General features: G+C 45.0%; 1 protein-coding gene across 13 annotated transcripts, besides 2 other annotated features; it reads left to right on the forward strand.

The window, feature by feature from the left end:
* On the forward strand, positions 29–11,795 carry BTN2A2 (butyrophilin subfamily 2 member A2). Of its 13 annotated transcripts, none has more exons than NM_001197237.2 (8): positions 29–234; positions 713–836; positions 1,936–2,283; positions 4,934–5,215; positions 6,926–7,132; positions 7,608–7,628; positions 7,724–7,750; positions 9,296–11,795. In NM_001197237.2, exons 2-8 carry the CDS (start codon positions 743–745, stop codon positions 9,886–9,888), a joined length of 1,572 nt encoding a protein of 523 aa, NP_001184166.1. In that variant the 5' UTR covers positions 29–234; positions 713–742; the 3' UTR covers positions 9,889–11,795. The 13 variants fall into 13 exon arrangements, with proteins under 13 accessions (NP_001184166.1, XP_006715018.1, XP_005248854.1 ...); XM_006714955.4 differs by having other exon boundaries at positions 29–220; positions 9,067–11,795; XM_005248797.4 differs by having other exon boundaries at positions 29–220.
* Positions 15,215–15,304: a silencer, noted in NCBI's record as "silent region_17009". NCBI's record gives its function as "represses an Ori minimal core promoter by ATAC-STARR-seq in GM12878 lymphoblastoid cells {active_cell/tissue: GM12878}" and the evidence as "EXISTENCE:reporter gene assay evidence [ECO:0000049][PMID:35858748]".
* Positions 19,104–19,163: an enhancer, noted in NCBI's record as "active region_24241". NCBI's record gives its function as "activates an Ori minimal core promoter by ATAC-STARR-seq in GM12878 lymphoblastoid cells {active_cell/tissue: GM12878}" and the evidence as "EXISTENCE:reporter gene assay evidence [ECO:0000049][PMID:35858748]".

Below are 19,169 nucleotides of genomic sequence, written 5' to 3' on the forward strand. Positions count from 1 at the left end.
GGGCTCTAAACTGCTCAGTGGAAATCTTGGGACTTTTTGGACACCCAGAGAACAGGTCCCAGATACCGAGTCCGCAACTCCAAACATCGCGATTAATAGGAGGTGAACACAGCTTTTCTCTTCTCTTTGGGATGCTTTGTTGTCTGGTGGTGACTGTGCCCATGGGTGAGTTGTATCGGAAAATCGTCATGTGAGGATCAGAGGGGAAAAGAAAACAGAGGTTAGTTCTAGAAGGTAGGAAAGGGAGAGGAGGCGCTACAGCTCCGGGGTGGGGGCGGTAGCTGGGGGCGGTAGGTGCGGGGAGCGGGATCTGCTCTGGAGAGGAGAGGGGGACCTGGGAGACAGGAAGCCTACTGGTGGGGAGGCGCAGCCTCGCCTGGCTTTACCTCGAGTGTCCCGACCTGGGTCTCGGGGAGGGGGAAGTGGAGGGACGAGGGTGTGAAAGAATCCAGGGACAACTGAAGAAACCGGACTGTGGCCCGAGAAGTGGGAAGAGGAAGGAGGAAAACGGCCCCCTTGATCTCTGCATTGATGGCTTACTTATGGAATGTTTACGGAATCCCTCTTTCGGAGATACCTGAGCCTTGAGATGCAAGCGACTCCCAGAAGTTGGGGCACCGATGAGACCTACTTGAGTGACAGGAGAGGTTGGGCCCGACCAGCACTGAGGTGCCAAGACTCCTAGGCTGATTCTCCTCCTCTGTAACCCTAGGCCTCTGGTCTCTGCCTGCCCTGGGTGCTCATGGAACCAGCTGCTGCTCTGCACTTCTCCCTGCCAGCCTCCCTCCTCCTCCTCCTGCTCCTCCTCCTTCTCAGCCTGTGTGCACTGGTCTCAGGTAGGGATGTGTGTCACTTGCTGCTGTCACCTCTCAGAAAGGAACATCAACCCTGTAGTCTGCAAAGGGAAAGAAGGAAGAACTGTGGGGTTGTTGACTTATCCTTTCATTCTGAACATGTTCACTGAATTTATACCAGCACTGTCCAAAAGAAACACAGTGAAGCACAAAGGTCAAGTGCATATACAAGTGCAAATCTTCAAAAAGATTTTTTTAACTTTTTATTTATTTGTTTATTTATTTAAGAGAGAGTATATTGCTCTGTTGCCAGGCCGGAATGAAGCAGATGGAGAATGAGATCATAACTCACTGTAACCTGAAACTCCTGGGCTCAAGGGATCCTCCCATCTCAGCCTCCCAAGTAGCTGAGAGTACAAGCAAGGGCCACCACACTCGACTAAGTTTTATTTTTTGTAGAGACAGGGTCTCACTATTTTGCCCAGGCTGGTCTCAAACTCCTAGCTGTTAAGGATCCTCCCACTTTGGCCTCCCAAATATCTGCAATTACAGGCGCAAGACCCTGTGCCTATTCTACTTTTTATTTTAAAAGGTAAAAACATACTTGAAATAAATTTTAATAATGTATTTTGTTTCATATAAATAATCACATATCAATATTTAAATGCTTAGTTAATAGAACTATTACCAATGAGATATTTGACATTTTGAAATTTTAAATCTTTATAATCTGTGTGTGTTTTACACTTAGAGTTCATTTTTATTGGAACTGTTAAATAGCTAGTGGATAGATACCCTAATGGACAGTTCAAGTTTACACTACACTCAGGCACAGTGCTAGATTGCAAAATGGAGGAAAATCTCAGGGGCACAGGGTGCCCAGGGCGGGCTCCCCAATGTTTCCTTCGTGAAGCAGGAGCAGCCTCAATAGTTACTGCTCCCAGGGGTTGGTGCTGCCGACCAGCCACAGCTACTGGTCCCCAGAAGGGTTCTCAGCCCAAGAACCCCTGTAGCCTTGGAATATCTGCTTCCTTTCATCCCTGGAGTTTTTTTTGTTTGTTTGTTTTTGTTTTTTGTTTTTTGTTTTGCCTTAGAGTTGTGATAACTGGCATCCTTGTCTGATTCTGCCCTTGTTGAACAGCCCAGTTTACTGTCGTGGGGCCAGCTAATCCCATCCTGGCCATGGTGGGAGAAAACACTACATTACGCTGCCATCTGTCACCCGAGAAAAATGCTGAGGACATGGAGGTGCGGTGGTTCCGGTCTCAGTTCTCCCCCGCAGTGTTTGTGTATAAGGGTGGGAGAGAGAGAACAGAGGAGCAGATGGAGGAGTACCGGGGAAGAATCACCTTTGTGAGCAAAGACATCAACAGGGGCAGCGTGGCCCTGGTCATACATAACGTCACAGCCCAGGAGAATGGGATCTACCGCTGTTACTTCCAAGAAGGCAGGTCCTACGATGAGGCCATCCTACGCCTCGTGGTGGCAGGTGCATCACTTCATTTTGCTTTATTACTTTTGCACAGTGTGACTTTTGGGGAAAGTTTCTCCCTTAACCTCAGGCCCATTGCAGACCAACGGATTTCTATCTGGCGTCCCCTTTCCACAGAGAAAGTGGCTTCCTCTTGCACAAAGGCCACATGAGTGGGTTTGCCCTGCTAAGCTATAGGTTTCACTTCTTTTTTTTTTTTTTTCAAGACAGAGTCTTGCTATGTTGCCCAGGCTGGAGTGCAGTGGTGCGATCTTGGCTCACTGCAACCTCTGCCTCCTGGGTTCAAGCTATTCTCCTGCCTCAGCCTCCTGAGTAGCTGAGATTACAGGCATACACCACCATGCCCGGCTAATTTTTGCATTTTTTTAGTAGAGACGGGGTTTCACCATGTTGGCAGGCTGGTCTCAAACTCCTGACCTTGTGATCCACCTGCCTCAGTCTCCCAAAGTGCTAGGATTACAGGCGTGCGCCACCACGCCCAGCCTGGGCTTCACTTCTTCAGAAGCACACGCATTCCTCAGCTGAGGCCATGAGCAGGGGAAAATAGTTAATCCCGGAAAAGAAAGTCTTATGCCTGCCTTGGCACTGAACTGTGCACGTCTGAGAGTGAAAGGAGACACTGTCAAAAATTGTCCCGGGGCAATCAGAATCAATAAGAACTGCCCAGAGAACTATGACATGAAATCTTATTTTTCGATAAATATTAATCTTGACATTTTCTTCTTTCCTGAAATACTGATTGCAGAGAGAGTGACTTTTATATAAATAGATGATTTTTATTAAAGCACAACTAAATACAGAAACAAAGTTATCTATAATTCCTGCTAACTCCACAGAGAAAGACTAAGAATTTAGCTGGGAAGAAATTGGCAAGGCTTCAGCATAGAAATGCACTTAAACTGGGATTTCTAATAGTTTGTTAAAAGTGACACTAAGTGATTACCTCAGTGTTGCAGTTAGTGTATTTTGCTTTAAAAGGTATATTTCAGGACTGAAAAAAGCCTTTAAGTTGCAGAATAATTCGTGGTGACATTTCAGTCCATCAGACCAGTGGAGGCAAGGACTAGGAAATTGGGTTCTTCCCAGGGGGCCCCAAATCATAACAGGTAGGAGACCCTATCTTTGCTACTCACAAAGGCAACCTTACATCTGATTAAAACAGAATATCGTGGATGGAGGGCTTCTTGACCCATTGTCATGACTGTGTTCACAGCAGCACTGCAATGTTGCCCAGTAATGAATGGTTGTATGTGGCAGGGACCCACTACTCTTTCTCTGTAAAACCAACCCTGTCCTGGCCTTCCCTAGTCTGAATTGGGTTGCTGTAGGACTTTTTGTTTGCTTGCTTATTGTACTCTGTTTGTTGGATTGGTTGGTGGCTGATTTTTCCCTTAAATCTATTGTGTCATGCTTACCCGTATTGAACCCATGGAATGTTTTGTAGGACTTTGTTTTCCAATTTGCTGAGGTATTTTAATTTCTTTTCTAATTCAGGATTTCTGTGTGAGCCTTCAAATGCACAACTAGCTTTTTTCTCCTGACAAAAATTAAACAGAGCAGAAAGCACTAGGCTTAAGTGATTGCTTTAATTTTCTTTCTTTAACATAATTTGTTGGGAGACTTTACAAAGGAATTATTCAGGAGAAGTTTGGATGATCACGCATGGCTGAAGGGTCTCCCAGGACCATGCTTTTGCAGCTCTCTCACTCTGGGTATTCTCTTTCATTGAAGGTTCTAGTAAAGATAGAATATATTTAGGATGAGCCTGAATTATTAGGATTTTTGGTGATGATCTCTGACATTGAGGAGGCAATATGGTTATCTTAAGGATCCCAGGGGCATCCAGATATTTCTAATACATTGATGTTCTTAAAGGACTGTAAGAAAATTCTCTATTGGATGGAACCTCTGGGAGGTAAACAACTGTGAATTAGAATAAGAATTGGCTTTGCCAGCTAGTTCTGTCTATTCTCCTAAAAACCATCACCTCCTATGGAGGTAGATAGCCATGGTGATGTGAGGCCCTGAACTAGACAGAAGTGTCAGTGACTTTGGTTCAAAAAGTTTCTTAAGATTTAGCCAAGGCTGAGCATAGTGGCCCATGCCTGTAATCCCAGCACTTTGGGAGGTCAAGACAGGTGAATTGCCTTAGCTCAGGAGTTTGAGACCAGCCTGGGCAACATGGCAAAACCCCATCTCTACAAAAAAAAAAAAAAAAGAAAGAAAGGAAAAAAAGCTTCTGCCAACCTGATAGGTTTCTGTCATTAGTGTATTATTTTAGAGCTTCAGGAAATTGAGGTCTGCAGAGAAGTCATCCCAGGAGCAGAAAGTGAAATTCTCAACCTGCCTGTTGAGAATTTGGACACACCCTCCTGGAAGTGAGAAAATTAGTCTTTGCCAGAATAAATTGCACAGCAAGCATTTATAGCAGACAGATAGATGCTTGGTGCTGTGATGGGGCCTTCAGGTGGAGCATAAAGAAAAGTGTGCAATGTGATCCTTTCTCTTTGAGATCTCACAATTTATTTTGCATATTGGTTTCCTGATGTTCTCCAAAACCAAGGGTCTTTCTAGCAACCATCCATCAAGGTGCAGTAGGGGCTAAGATACCACTGCCTTTTGGCTGAGCCCTGGTCTCCCTTTCCAGGCCTTGGGTCTAAGCCCCTCATTGAAATCAAGGCCCAAGAGGATGGGAGCATCTGGCTGGAGTGCATATCTGGAGGGTGGTACCCAGAGCCCCTCACAGTGTGGAGGGACCCCTACGGTGAGGTTGTGCCCGCCCTGAAGGAGGTTTCCATCGCTGATGCTGACGGCCTCTTCATGGTCACCACAGCTGTGATCATCAGAGACAAGTATGTGAGGAATGTGTCCTGCTCTGTCAACAACACCCTGCTCGGCCAGGAGAAGGAAACTGTCATTTTTATTCCAGGTTAGTTCTCTGCCCTCTGAGACCTATCAAGTGTATGCAGGATCCTCAGCACCCAGATGGAGCCCAGAGCGGGAATGGGGGCAGCAGTGTGGGTGGAATGGTCCTGGGCCCTGAGGAGCTGGAGGCTGCAGCTGAGTTGAGACGTCTCCCCTCCTCACAAAGGGAGATTCAAAGAGTCCCAAAACACAAGAGTAGGAGCCTCTTCTCTGAGGGTAAACCTGGTCTTTTTTTTCTTGATTAGGTCTTTATGCTGCAACAGTTGTAAAATATTAAGGACAACCATCAAACCTGGAGAGTAGTGTGGGTGGGTGACTGTCTATGCTTGGCATTCCTGTATGTTGCAGCCATCCCTTCCTGTCTATGGGACTTCCCAAAGGACAGAGCTGGGGAAATTCCCTATCAAGAGACATTCATAAATGTATTCAACAAATGTTCAACAAGCATTTCTTATGTTTAAGACTGTACAGGAAACCAAGGGTCAATAATTGAACAAAATATATCAAAATTTCTCTCCTCAAGGAGTTCATATTCTAGAGAGAGACAGCGGCCGGGCACGGTGGCTCACACCTGCAATCCCAGCACTTTGGGAGGCCAAGGTGGTTGGATCATGAGTTCGGGAGTTCAGGACCAGCCTGGCCAAGATGGTGAAACACCATCTCTACCAAAACTACAAAAATTAGCCGAGTGCGGTAGCAGGCGCCTGTAATCCCCGCTGCTTGGGAGGCTGAGGCAGGAGAATTGCTTGAACCCAGGCGGCAGAGCTTGCGTCAAGATCGTGCCACTGCACTCCAGCCTGGGCAACAGAGTGAGACTCTGTCTTAAAAAAGAAAAAGAAAAAAAGGGAGCGCGAGAGAGAGACAGCAATATATGAAATAATTGAAACAAGTGATTAAATAAATAATAATCTATATATTCTATCACATGGTGACGAGCATGTAGGAAAAATTAAGCAAAGAGAAAATAGAGAGTTCCAGGGGTGTGAGGCATCAGAATTATTAACAAGGTGGTCAGGGAAGACTTCACTGTAAAGATGGAAATTGAGCAATCAAGACAAGGAACCATCAGATGCTTAAGGACTGAGCAGCCAAGGTACAGGAAGAGCATATGCAAAAGGCCTGAGGAAGGAGCTTGTCTGGCAGTTTCCAGGACTCCCAGGAGGTGATGCTGGTGTGGCTGAAATGGAGTGAGTTCAGGAAGTAGGGGGAGATGAATTCACAGAGTGATGCAACTACGTTATATATGGCAGCACAGGCCACAAACAGGCTTTGGCTTTTAGAGTGAGTGAGTGGGAAGCATTGGAAGGTTTTGAGCAAATAATTAACATGATCTCACTTGGGCTGCTCTGCTGAGAGTAGATTACAGAATAGAGCAGAACAAGAAGGAGGGCACTCTAGTATTCCAGGCGTGAGTGATGGTGGTTTGAGGCAGGGTGATGGCTGTGCTGACTCAGCATGGCTGGTTAGTTTTATGCACTCTGGTCCTTTCCATGGTGACTCCAGATGTTTCTGCTTTGCCCCCTTCTGGGCCCGGCCCTGGCAGTCACTGAGGTGTCAGCCAGTGTTGAGCCAGCATCGCTTTCTCCATCTAAGGTTTCTGAGGGAGAAGCCAACAGAACAGGTGGCTGAGGAGCTCTTCAGATGTGCTCTTAGGGGCACTCTCATCCAGATGTTCTATTTCAAACTAAATGGACTTTTCTGGCTGCCTTTTCAGAATCCTTTATGCCCAGCGCATCTCCCTGGATGGTGGCCCTAGCTGTCATCCTGACCGCATCTCCCTGGATGGTGTCCATGACTGTCATCCTGGCTGTTTTCATCATCTTCATGGCTGTCAGCATCTGTTGCATCAAGAAACTTCAAAGGGAAAAAAAGATTCTGTCAGGGGAAAAGAAAGTTGAACAAGAGGAAAAAGAAATTGCACGTAAGGAATTTGTAAAGAAAGTGTGGAAAAATAGAAAGAAATTCAAAAAGAAAAGTTAAATGAGTAGGAGGACAATTGACTGTCATAGAAAGGCCACAGCTCTCACAGGTACCGGCTTAGGGAAGAGAGAGAGGAAATGCACAGCAGCAGCCACAAGGGCTTGGAACTCTCATGTCATAAGAAGTAATCATTCAGAGCTTTCTTTCTTCCATGCTGCACACATTACATTCATTCACCTGGCTATATGCAGCACTACATGGCTGAACGAAAGTTCAGACAAAAGTCTAACAATGTACTGATACTACCCAGCCATCTGATCATACATCATTGCTGGTTTCTGACTGTTCCTTAGGCATAAACGAAGGGTGATGTTGGTGTTCATAGAAAGGATGGTTCCTACGTTGTTTAATACAAGCTCAATTTCTCTTAGTTCTTCTGTTGAAGACATGATTTTGTTTCTGTATTTTGTTTTCAGAGCAACTTCAAGAAGAATTGCGTAAGTTTAGCCTTTCCTGAACTACTCCGTGTACAATTTGTGTTCTGCTTACTTAGCAGTGTCTCGTGACATTCACCTCTGTCTGTCCCTTGCAGGATGGAGAAGAACATTCTTACATGCTGGTGAGTGCCTCTGATGTTCTCTCAGATCTCAGCTTTCTCCCCACTAGCCAGCTAACAGGACTCCTTAGAGGAGATGAGCAAGGGGCCCAGGGCTACACAGGGACCATAGGGAACTGGGGTCAGTTCATCAACGGTGTCCCAGCAATGATGCATCATGGCTCTTCTGTCAGGGAACCCCAGCAGCTCTTAATGAACCCTGCAGTTTACATCCCCAGGACCCTTTCTCTTTTGGAATAATTTAATGCATGATTATCAAAGGTTTCCCATGCATAGTAGCCTCCTAAGAGTTACATTTCAGAAGTCATTGCTCTTTGATTCTGGATCAATTTGAAATAAGATAATGCTGTCTTAGCAATTCATATCCTGGGAATGGTATAGACTGTGCACAGTTGAAGACCTATGTGAGGAAAAGGCCATAAGGGTCCCCAGTAAGCCTGATGCAATGGTGTACAAATAGGTGGCCAGAAATACCTTTCTGCCTCTAAGAGAGCACTGATATTCTGCATGTAGTCTGCCAGGGGAAGGGGTTTGGGTGAGTGGGAGGGTGAGTGGGAGAGCACAGAGAAACCAATCGCCCACTTCCAGTGAGTTCTCATCTTGTGATTCGGCACCTCTGCCTGTCAGCACCAAAGAATCCAAACTTTACCAGATACCAGGGCCCATGGACCTTTCCTCTTTGGCGAGTTTCAAAATTGCCACTGTCATTTTGGGACACAATCACAACTTGTCACAATCAGACATATCAACTTGTGGAAAAGAGAAAATCATTTTAATGCAATAGAAAGGTAGACTGAATAAGTAAGAATACATGCAGAAGGTAGAGGTTTGCAGAATGCTCAGCTCCTGGGGCTTTTCCTGTATGGGAGAAGTAATCCTGGTAGATGTCAGACTCATATTGTTAAAGCAAAACTGGATTGAAGTATTTCTTCCCTAACTTTGCCCACACATCCCTCAGGCACCAGGTTTTCTTTTGCACACATTTATTCTCCTTCTTTATCCTTTGAAGTGTGCCCTTGTCAGCCACTTAAATCAGTTGTCACCTATTAAAACAACCTATAGGACCAACGAAGAGGTCCTTCACCACCTAGGACAGTGTGTAATGATAGACTCACTTAATTGATCCATTGAGAGGTATGTGGGGGAACAATAGGAGATAAAGCTTCTGTGATGGTTTAAGCCAAGTTGGAAAGTTTCTAACTAAAGAAAGTCCCAGAGATCATATATCTTGAATAGAAAAGGGATCAGATCTTAGAATGCTGAGAAAAACTGGGAACCATTAATTTTGGCTCATTTCCTAAACTCTCTGGATTTCATAGAGCCACAATTCTTCTCAACCTGGGGGCACTGCTTCTGTCTCTGGAGAGATAGAAGTGCAGCTTCCGTAATTCTCAGGGTATGAGCTGCCTGGGATCAGGGGACCTTCATGGAAACGGCCACTACATGGGGAACCCCCTTCAGCTTTCTGAGACTTCTCTGGGGACCAGGAACCACACAATCCCCAGGGTTCCTGAGACCCCAGGCATAAACCTGAGACTTCCTCTGCAGCTGATGTGGTCCTGGATCCAGACACCGCTCATCCCGAGCTCTTCCTGTCAGAGGACCGGAGAAGTGTGAGGCGGGGCCCCTACAGGCAGAGAGTGCCTGACAACCCAGAGAGATTCGACAGTCAGCCTTGTGTCCTGGGATGGGAGAGCTTCGCCTCAGGGAAACATTACTGGGAGGTGGAGGTGGAAAACGTGATGGTGTGGACTGTGGGGGTCTGCAGACACAGTGTTGAGAGGAAAGGGGAGGTCCTGCTGATTCCTCAGAATGGCTTCTGGACCCTGGAGATGTTTGGAAACCAATACCGGGCCCTGTCCTCCCCTGAGAGGATTCTCCCTTTGAAGGAGTCCCTTTGCCGGGTGGGCGTCTTCCTGGACTATGAAGCTGGAGATGTCTCCTTCTACAACATGAGGGACAGATCGCACATCTACACATGTCCCCGTTCAGCCTTTACTGTGCCTGTGAGGCCCTTCTTCAGGTTAGGGTCTGATGACAGCCCCATCTTCATCTGCCCTGCACTCACAGGAGCCAGTGGGGTCATGGTGCCTGAAGAGGGCCTGAAACTTCACAGAGTGGGGACCCACCAGAGCCTATAGAATCAATTCCTTGGACTCACAGCCATGCAGATAAGCCCTGGCCATCTCAGCAGCCACCGCACAACCCCCCTAATGAAAGACACGCCCTCCTCCCCTCTGGTCACGTAAGAGAACATCTTCCAGCTGCCTTTTTCACACCCACTCCAGCCCTCTGCCCCAGTTTTCTCCTCCTCACTAGTCTGTGGCTTTAGTAGTTCCTTTGCTTGTAATTATGGGATGGGATCCAGGCATAGGGAACTAGTTGTTTCATAGCTCCCAGTCAAAAAGAAAGTGAGAGAAGCTGTTGGGCAGCGAACCTACTGTTTAAAATCAGGATAACCACATTAAGCCCAATATGCCAGTTGGCACCAGATGCTGTGGACTTGGAATGAGGCCAACAGGGTTCACCAGGATGAGAGAGGAGAGAGGAATCCACAGGACCACCAGAAGGGAGAGGGAACCAGATATGCAGATCAGAGATAGAGGAAGTGGAACCAGAGAGCTGGGAGGGACCAAGGTTGTAAGGATGGCTAAGTCCCACCATAAGAGCTAAAGGGTCCTGGGAGATGATGGCTCATTTCCACCCAACCCCAGGATTTCCACAGCACACACCCACAGGCCTGGACCTGGGATGAAGATGAATGAAGAACATGGACTCATGTGGATGTGGTTTGGCTCAGATGTCCCTGCAATAAACAAGGGGTCAGTACTTAGTCCCTGAGTGTGGTTGAGGTTTGAGGTCCTGGTCGAGCAGGGCAGTACTGGACCAGGTCTACGTCAGCATTCAGGTTCAATGGGGACACCAGTGGCTTCAAACTTCCTGATCTAATTATGTTTTTAGACACTTAGAAGTTATTGAGGACTTTAAAGAGCTTTTGTTTATTTGGGTTAATATTTATGACATTTGACATTGAAACAAAAATTTAAAATGTTATCTTTTAATTTATGTTAAAATAGCATTAATAAATCAGTTATAGGTTAATGTAGATAGGATGTTTTGTGAAAAAGCAATCTATTGTGTCCAAATAAAAAAACAAAAAGTGTGACACTGGTTAACTTTTTCCAGATCTCATGTCTGGCTTAATAAGAGATATTTGTATTATCATATCTGCCTTTGTATTAAACCTATTGGTATATCATAGGTCATGTTAGCTCAAAAAAACTTTACTGCACACTACTGAGAGAATGAGATGAAAAACGATTAATGTTTCATTATTATTATTGTGAAAATATTATTAACACTGGGGACTCCTTAAGAGTACATCAGAGTTCTCTCTAGGAATCCCAAAACCACATTTTGAAACTAGAATAGTGGATCCTGGAAGTTAATCCATGTGCTGGTTAATTTTAGATGTCAACCTGACTGGATTAAGGAATACCTAGACAGCTGGTACAACATTATTTCTGGGTGTGTCTGTGAGTGTGTTTCCAGAAGAGATTGGCAAGTGAGTCAGTGGGAAATTCTCTCCTTCTGTTGGCTGGGTGCCCAATACAACAAAAAGGCAGAGGAAAGGCAAATTCTTCTCTCCTCTGGAGCTGAGACACTCTTCTTCTTCTGCCCTTGGACATCAGAACTCCTGGCTCTCCGGCCTTTGAACTTCAGGACTTGTACCAGGAGGCCCTGGGTTCTCAGGCCTTTGGCTTTGGACTGAGAGTTACACAATCAGCTTCCCTGGTTCTGAGGCTTTCAGACTTAAACTGAGCCATGCTACCAGCATCCCAGGGTCTCCAGCCTACAGATGAGCTGTTGTGCGATTTCTTAGCCTCCATAATCACATGAGCCAATCTCCTTAATAAATGCCTGCTCATAGATCTGTATCTACATCTATATCTGTATGTGCATCTATATCTATGCCTATATCTATATCTATATCATATTGATTTTGTCTCTCTGGAGAACCCTGACTAATAAAATGAGGCATCTAAAATTCTAGCTTGAATGGTAGTATTTTAGGTTTTAGACAATTCAGTAATCCAGTTGGACTGAAAAAATTTAAGTAATCAAAAATTTTATTACTGCAGTTACAAATAGACACAATATTGAAAGAATCAGGAGTGATTTTTTCAATACCTGATTTGTAAAGATGGAAAGCAAGGTTGTTTGTGTTAATGTGTATGTCTTAGTCTATGTGGGCAGCTATAACAAAAATATCACCAAGACTGAATGGTTTGTAAACAACAGAAATTTATTTCTTGCAATTCTGCAGGCTGGGAAATCTAAGATCAACACCCCAGCATAATGGTGTGTGGTGAGGGCCCATAGACTTGTTCACATGCCAAAGGATAAAGATAGATCTGTAGGGTCTCTTTTGGAAGGACACTAATGACATTCATTAGGGCTCCCTCAACCTCAGAGAGAAAATAGAAGGAGGAGATTCCAAACTTCCTGCTGCTGCCCTGACCTGCTCCTGCCCCTCCTCATCTATTTTCTCTGATTTAAGAAGCAGGTATCCTTTCCCCTGTGTCAGGCTAATTCTCCATCCACACCCTGGACTCTCACTCTCCAGTTTCCCTTAGGACTTCTGTGTTCAGTTCATTCATTCATTCAACAAAAATCAATGAGTACTAACTACATGCCAATCAGTGTTCTTGGTACTGGGGGCAGAGAAGTGCACAAAGTGTAAAGTCCCATTCCTTATCATTGTAGAAGACAGAAAACAAAATAAGTAGTAACAGATATGGTGTGTTGGATGATGATAACTGCTCAGGAGATAAATAAATCAGGGGAAGGAATATAGGAAATCACAATTTCTAAAAGAGTGGTAATGAGCAATGGGAGTGAGGCACAGAATACCTGGGAGAAAAGCATTCTAAGTTGAGAGAACAGCAGTGCCAGAGCACAGAGGCAGAAGCACTGTGGTTTGTGTGAAGAACAGCAATGAGGCTGGGGTGGGCAGAGCACACAGGGTGATCAGGAGATTAGGAGGTGACAAGGCCAGAGGGGGTTGAGGGCCAGATCATATATGGCCTTGAAAGTCATCATGCTGACCTGGGCTTTACCTCTCAGAGGGGAGCCACAGGAAGGTTAAAGCAGAAAAAGGACTGGACTTACTTACATTTTAAGAAGTTACTTCACATGCTAGACTGAGATGGGCTGTGGGTAGGGGTGGTGGATGGAGGCCTGAAGACCCAGCTGGGAGCTACTGCAGTGATCCAGGGGAAAGATGCAGATGACTTGTACCAGGGAGGAGCCATGAAAATGTTATGATGCTGGATTTATTTTCAAGACAGAGTAAAAAGGCTTTGCTGATAAACTTACAGGTGGGGTATGAAAAAGGAGGGCATCAAGGGTGACCACAAGGTTTTGGTCCTAAGAAATGGTACAAATGGAGTTGCCACTTACTGAGATGAGGAAACTGAGGGAGAAGCAGGTTTTGGAGGCCAGGGGAGGAGCCAGCATAGAATCCAAGGTCAGTTTTGGATACGTTCAGGTTGAGGAGCTTACTAGAGATCCCCGTGGAGATGCAGAGTAGGCAGGTCAGTAATAAATGTGTAGTCCAGGCAACGGGTCAGGGCTGGAAACACAAGTTTTTCTCTTTATCTTCTTTATCTGCATGTTTGTTGTCATGCCTGTTTCACTTTAATGCATTAGTGATCTATTGCTGCATAACAAATTACCACAAACTTAGTGGTTTAAAACAGCACACATTTATCATTTCAGTTTCTGTGGGTCAGAAGTCCAGGCAGAACTTAGTGAGCTCCTCTGCTCAGAACTTCACAGAGCAAAAGTCAAGGTGTTGGCCAGGCTGTAGCCTCATCTAGAGTCTCGACTGTGGGAGAGTCCTCTTTTCAGATCACTCAGGTTGTTAACAGAGTTCATTTCTTTACAGTTGTAGGACTGAGGGCCCCAACTCCTTGCAGGCTGAAGCTGGAGGTTGCTCTCAGCTCCTACAGGCCTCCTCAGCTCCCTGCTGTGTGGATCCCCATGATGACTACTTTCCTCTTCATAGCCAACTAGGAAGACAGAGCCTCTAGAGTGGGTCAGCTAGCAAGAGAGAGTCTTACACTACATAGTGTAGTCATGGAAGGGACATCCCATCAGTTTTACCATATTTTATTGGTTAGCAGCAAGCCACAGGTTCAGCTCACACTCAGGGAAAGTACAGGCTGCAAACTGCAAGAGGAGTAATCATAAGGGGTCCACTCCAGACTCTATCGGCTACATCATATAAGAAGCTCAATGTTCTCCCATTGTAACTGCCCTGCTTCCTCTTTCCCTGGGCAATACAAACATGCTAACCTCTCTCTAGGTCTCTACTTTCATACAAGCAAAGTCTCAGAAAGAGAACACATACATGGCCATCAGGGACTGTCTGCCATCATGATGGCCACTGCTGTACCACACCATAAACATTGTTTGTTTTTTTCTTTCTTTCTTTCTTTCTTTTTTTTTTGAGATAGACTCTTGCTCTGTTGTCCAGGCTGGAGTGCAGCAGCATGATGTCGGCTCACTGCAACTTCTGCCTCCTAGATTCAAGCAATTCCCCTGACTCAGCCTCCCAAGTAGCTGGGATTACAGGCCTGTGCCACCATGCCCAGCTAATTTTTGTACTTTTAGTAAAGCGGGGTTTCACCACGTTGGCCTGACTGGTCTCTAACTCCTGACCTTAGGTGAACTGCCCGCCTCAGCCTCCTAAAGTGCTACATTACAGGCAAGAGCCACTACTCTCAGCCCATAAGCATTGTTTCTATCAGTTACTAATGGTTTCCCAACCATTAAATCCGTTACACATTTCTATTTTCCCCTCCCACCCCCGTGCTTTCCTTTTTAGAGAGACAGGATCTTGCTCTGTCACACAGGCTAGAGTTCAGTGGTGTGATCATCGCTGACTGCTGCCTTGATCTCCTGGGCTCAAGCGATCCTCCTGCCTTAGCCTCCCACAGTGCTGGGATTATAGCTGTGAGACACTGGGCCTCGCTTGTCATTATACACTTCTGTCCTTCCTTTATGGACAACACTGAGTTCTTCATAGACCTGCCTGAGTAGGTGTTCCTGCCTATGTGGCGTCTGCCTCATCAATCCCCAGGGCCCTCTTCTTGGCCTTTCCCTGCTCCTAGGGAGATCTTTCTCAGAATTCTTGCTTCACTTGCTCCAGAACTGCTGATATTCCTTAGGCTTTCGTCTTGGCCTCTCTTTTCACACCACATATGCTCTTGTGGGGTCCAATCCGTTTTCAAAGCTCTATCCCATAAGCAGACTCCCACCAGCACTTGCATTTCTGTCTCCAGCCCCACGCATTCCCTGAATGCCCACTAGACATCTCACAATGAGTGTGTCCAAAACTAAATTCCCATCAACCCTGCCTACCCATCATTAACTGAATGAGTGACACCACCTAAGAGTCATTTCAGCCTTCTCATGCTCTCTTTTACCTACCACTTCTGACTGATAGCCAGGCCCTGCTATTTATACTTCCTTTCAATAGTCTAGCTCAGTGGTTTCATCACAGACTCTGGAGTGAGACAGCCTGGACTCAAAGCCCAGCTTAGAAAGAAACTACTCATGTGGCCTTGGGGAGTTATTTAACCTCTCTGGACCTCAGATTTTATATCTATTAAATGTGCGAAATAAGGTTTCTACCTCTTAGGGTTGTCATGAGTCGTATTAATACATGTAAATCTCTTAGCACAATACCAGCATGGTAGCAGGTTCTATGTAAGTATTTCCTAGTATTAAAGTTAGTAATCAATAAAGTCTCCTATCCCCCATTGCCAAGCCACCATAATTTCTTGCCTAGACTGTCACAGTAGCTTCCTTCCTGGTCTCCCTATCTCCTAACATCTGGCCCACCGGATGAGGATGGGATATATTGTGCAACCCCAGCAGACATCATCCCATAGAATACAATGTAAATGGCACCTCCTTCCTCCCATCTTCCCTGCACCTACCTCACTTCTATTTTAAACATACACATTTCCTCATGTCAAACTTTTCAGATATTTTCCCTTCACCTTCCCACTAAAACTCCAACTCCACAGCAGACATCTGTTGATGTTGTCTCCAGGGGAAGTGGATTTAGGACTCATCAATGCAGGGATCAGAATTGAGCCTTTCAGAATGGAAGACAATGAAATTCATTGAGGGTTACTACTTGCAGGGCCTGTGCTAACTGCTCCTTAAATAACTTATGGAACAGATCTCATTTCTGCCCTACAGATGAATAAACAGAGACCTTGAGTAATTAGTTAACCGGCTTTGGGTTCCAGGGCTAATGAGTTGTGAATGAGAACAGATGAACATAGAAAAAAAAAATCTCGAGACAGTAGATAGTAAGGCAGTGTGCCTTGGATGTGCTGACAGATATCTAGATACAGCATAAAGAAAATGTGTGTTCATGAGAGTTCTTAATGGCAACAAGAGGTAGCATGATATCCATGAGAAATGGACATTTGTTGATGAGACTAACTAAACAAAGGAGACGGATTTCTGGGCATTTTTCAACACCTATTGCATGCAGGACACTGCACTAGGTCTTGTAAAAGACAAAGAGAAGATAGCATCAAGGGCCTAGGTCTTGAAGGAGGGCTGAGTACACTTTCACTAAGTGTACATTCTTGTGACATTTTTTTTTGATACACTGTTGTAAGCAAACTGCATGCATTATCTCATTCCATCCTCACAACAGCAACCCAAGAAGTCAAGTACTATCACTGTCCTTATTTTACAGATAGGGAAACTGGGCACAGAGATGTTAGGTAACTGGCTCAAGGTCACGCAGGCCACCTAGCTTGAGAATTAGTGCTCTTATCCACTCCATTATGCAACTTCTACTCACTAATTTTGAACTTCAGTGCCTGAGAACTACTAGATGATAGGTTCTCAATAAAAATTTGTTGAATCACTGAATTCATTTCTGCCCCATTTCACATCCATTTCTTTCCCAAGATTTCTTTCCCAGAGTTCTGTGTGAAGGACTGCATGAGAAATGGAGCAAGGGGCCTGATACTTTGGAAACTACAAACTTGAGAGATATGAATTATTGGGCCCAGAAACTCCTAATCTGAAGCTTAGCACCTCAGCTGCTTCTTTGTGTCAAAGTGATTTGGATCCTTCAGGCAAGGGTGGGTGATCACTCTTACTGATATAATTTCAAGCAACACAGCTTCTGATAGACTATGAATTTAAAAATAAGCAAATGAGGTGCAGTAGCTCACGCCTGAAATCCCAGCACTTTGGGAGGCCGACGTGGGCAGATCACCTGAGGTCAGGAGTTTGAGACTAGCCTGGGCAACATGGCAAAACCCCATCTACTAAAAATACAAAAATTAGCTGGGTGTGGTGGCAGGTGCCTGTGATCCCGGCTACTCGGGAGGCTGAGGTAGGAGAATTGCTTGAAACTGTGAGGTGGAGGTTGCAGTGAGCCGACAGCATGCCACTGCACTCTAGTCTGGGAGACACAGCGAGACTCCATCTCAAAAAAAAAAAAAAGAGAAAGAAAAGAAGCAAATGAACAAATAAATAAGGATGATGGATGGATAGGGAATGAATAGTGATATGGATTATAATAAAGTAAGAAAGTTTAGTAAAATATTAACTCTATCAATACAATTTACATGGTAGGTAATTGGTATTCACTGAAAATTCTTTCACCTTTGCTTTATGTTTTAGAAGTTTTATGACAAACTGCTGGGGAGGAAAAAGGGAGAGGGAAAAATTTTGTACTTCTGCTGATAACAGAGACCAGAAATACCACTGGCTTAAACAAAACAAGGGTTTTCTTGTTTTTTTTGTTTTGTTTTGTTTTGTTTTCATGTAAAATCAATTCAGGTGGTTGCAGTCCAGGGCTGATCTGGCACCTCAGAGGTGTCATTCATGCCCCAGACTGCTTCTGACTTCATTCTCTGCTGTCTCTGCATGTGGCTTCCAATGTCAAGGTTGCCTCATGGTCCCAGGAGGGCCGCTGCACCTCCAGGTCAAAAGCCTACATCGCAGGCAAGAGGAAGAGGAAGTACAGAGAGTGTACCCTCACACTCCCAGCTCTTTTGGCCCCTCCTTTGAAGGATCTCTTGGAGAAGCATAAGCCCACAGCTGTCACCTACAAAACACTGGTTCCAACTTTGTCCCTTGGTCTCTGCTATCTACCAGATGGAAAAGAACGTTGTAGTACCTAAGAAAATTAGGCCTTATCACCAAGAAGAAAGGGGGAATGCATGATGCAGAAGGGACCAGCCATCTCAATCAGATACTACACAGTCTAAATTCAAACATTTACAATATAATTAAATTGCATCAGCCCCAGTCACATCTTAGCCTTAGGAACTTCGATCATTGACTTGCAATCCCAGAAAGTCTGTTTTGAGGTCCTAGGCCACAGGAAGAACCAATTTGTTTTATAGACATCTTACAGAGACAGCATTCACAGTTTATCTAGAGTCTGGCCTCAGAGAATATGTACTCCACTGGCAGCAGGAGAAACAAATACACAGGAAAATACAGTGTAGCACAGAACAGGAGCTGAGGGTGAATGGAGATGCTCAGAAACACCTGCACTAAAAATTTGCTGAAAAAGGTAAAACGTGTCAAGCAGCACTGCCTCTGGAAGCCAGAAAAATTACATTTTTTGATAACAGATCCTAAGCCTGGATGCTGGAGGTGCTTAAAAATGTGCATTGTGGGCCGGGTGCAGTGGCTTAAGCCTGTAATCCTAGCACTTTGGGATCTGAGGAGGGAGGATCACTTGAGCTCAGGAGTTTGAGACCAGCCTGGCCAATATGGCAAAACCCTGTCTCTACTAAAAATACAAAAAGTAGCCGGGCATGGGGCGAGCACCTGTAATCCCAGTTATTCAGGAGCTGAGGCAGGAAAATCACTTGAACCTGGGAGGCGAAGGTTGCAGTGAGCCAAGATCCTGCAACTGCACTCCAACCTGGGTGACAGAGTGAAACTCCGTTTCAAAAAAAAAGTGCATTGTGTCTGGTTTTCTTTCCATTCATACGTTTATTTGACTCTGTAGTAAAATCTCCTCCTCCTCCATGTACCCATATTCATGCAAGCAAATGTTAGCAAACTGCCACAGTAGCATTTTAATTAGTGCTCATCTTTCTCTCTTCACCACATTAAAATCTTTTCCCATTGTGTTCTGCTGATATTTCTATTATGATAAAAGACTTAAGACAAGTGACTATATAGAAATACGTATATACACACAAGAATGAAAGAGATAAACAGTAAGGGAGGTAGGGCAGGAATTTTTCTTCAACGTGTACAATTCAATGTACTTTCAGTTTTCATTTCAGCCTTCCTCAGTGGTTTCTGCCCAGCAACTGATGAGAAACATCACCTCTGAGCCAATCAAAAAACT

This window comes from Homo sapiens, chromosome 6 (genome assembly GCF_000001405.40).
Source record: "Homo sapiens chromosome 6, GRCh38.p14 Primary Assembly".
NCBI classification, from domain to species: domain Eukaryota; kingdom Metazoa; phylum Chordata; class Mammalia; order Primates; family Hominidae; genus Homo; species Homo sapiens.

Excerpts from the sequence above, each read along its gene's own strand:
- BTN2A2 (NM_001197237.2), top strand. The coding sequence starts at position 743 with ATGGAACCAGCTGCTGCTCTGCACTTCTCCCTGCCAGCCTCCCTCCTC. Across the intron at positions 837-1,935 it reads CCTGTGTGCACTGGTCTCAG|CCCAGTTTACTGTCGTGGGG; the intron begins GTAGGGATGTGT and ends CTTGTTGAACAG. Across the intron at positions 2,284-4,933 it reads CCTACGCCTCGTGGTGGCAG|GCCTTGGGTCTAAGCCCCTC; the intron begins GTGCATCACTTC and ends CTCCCTTTCCAG.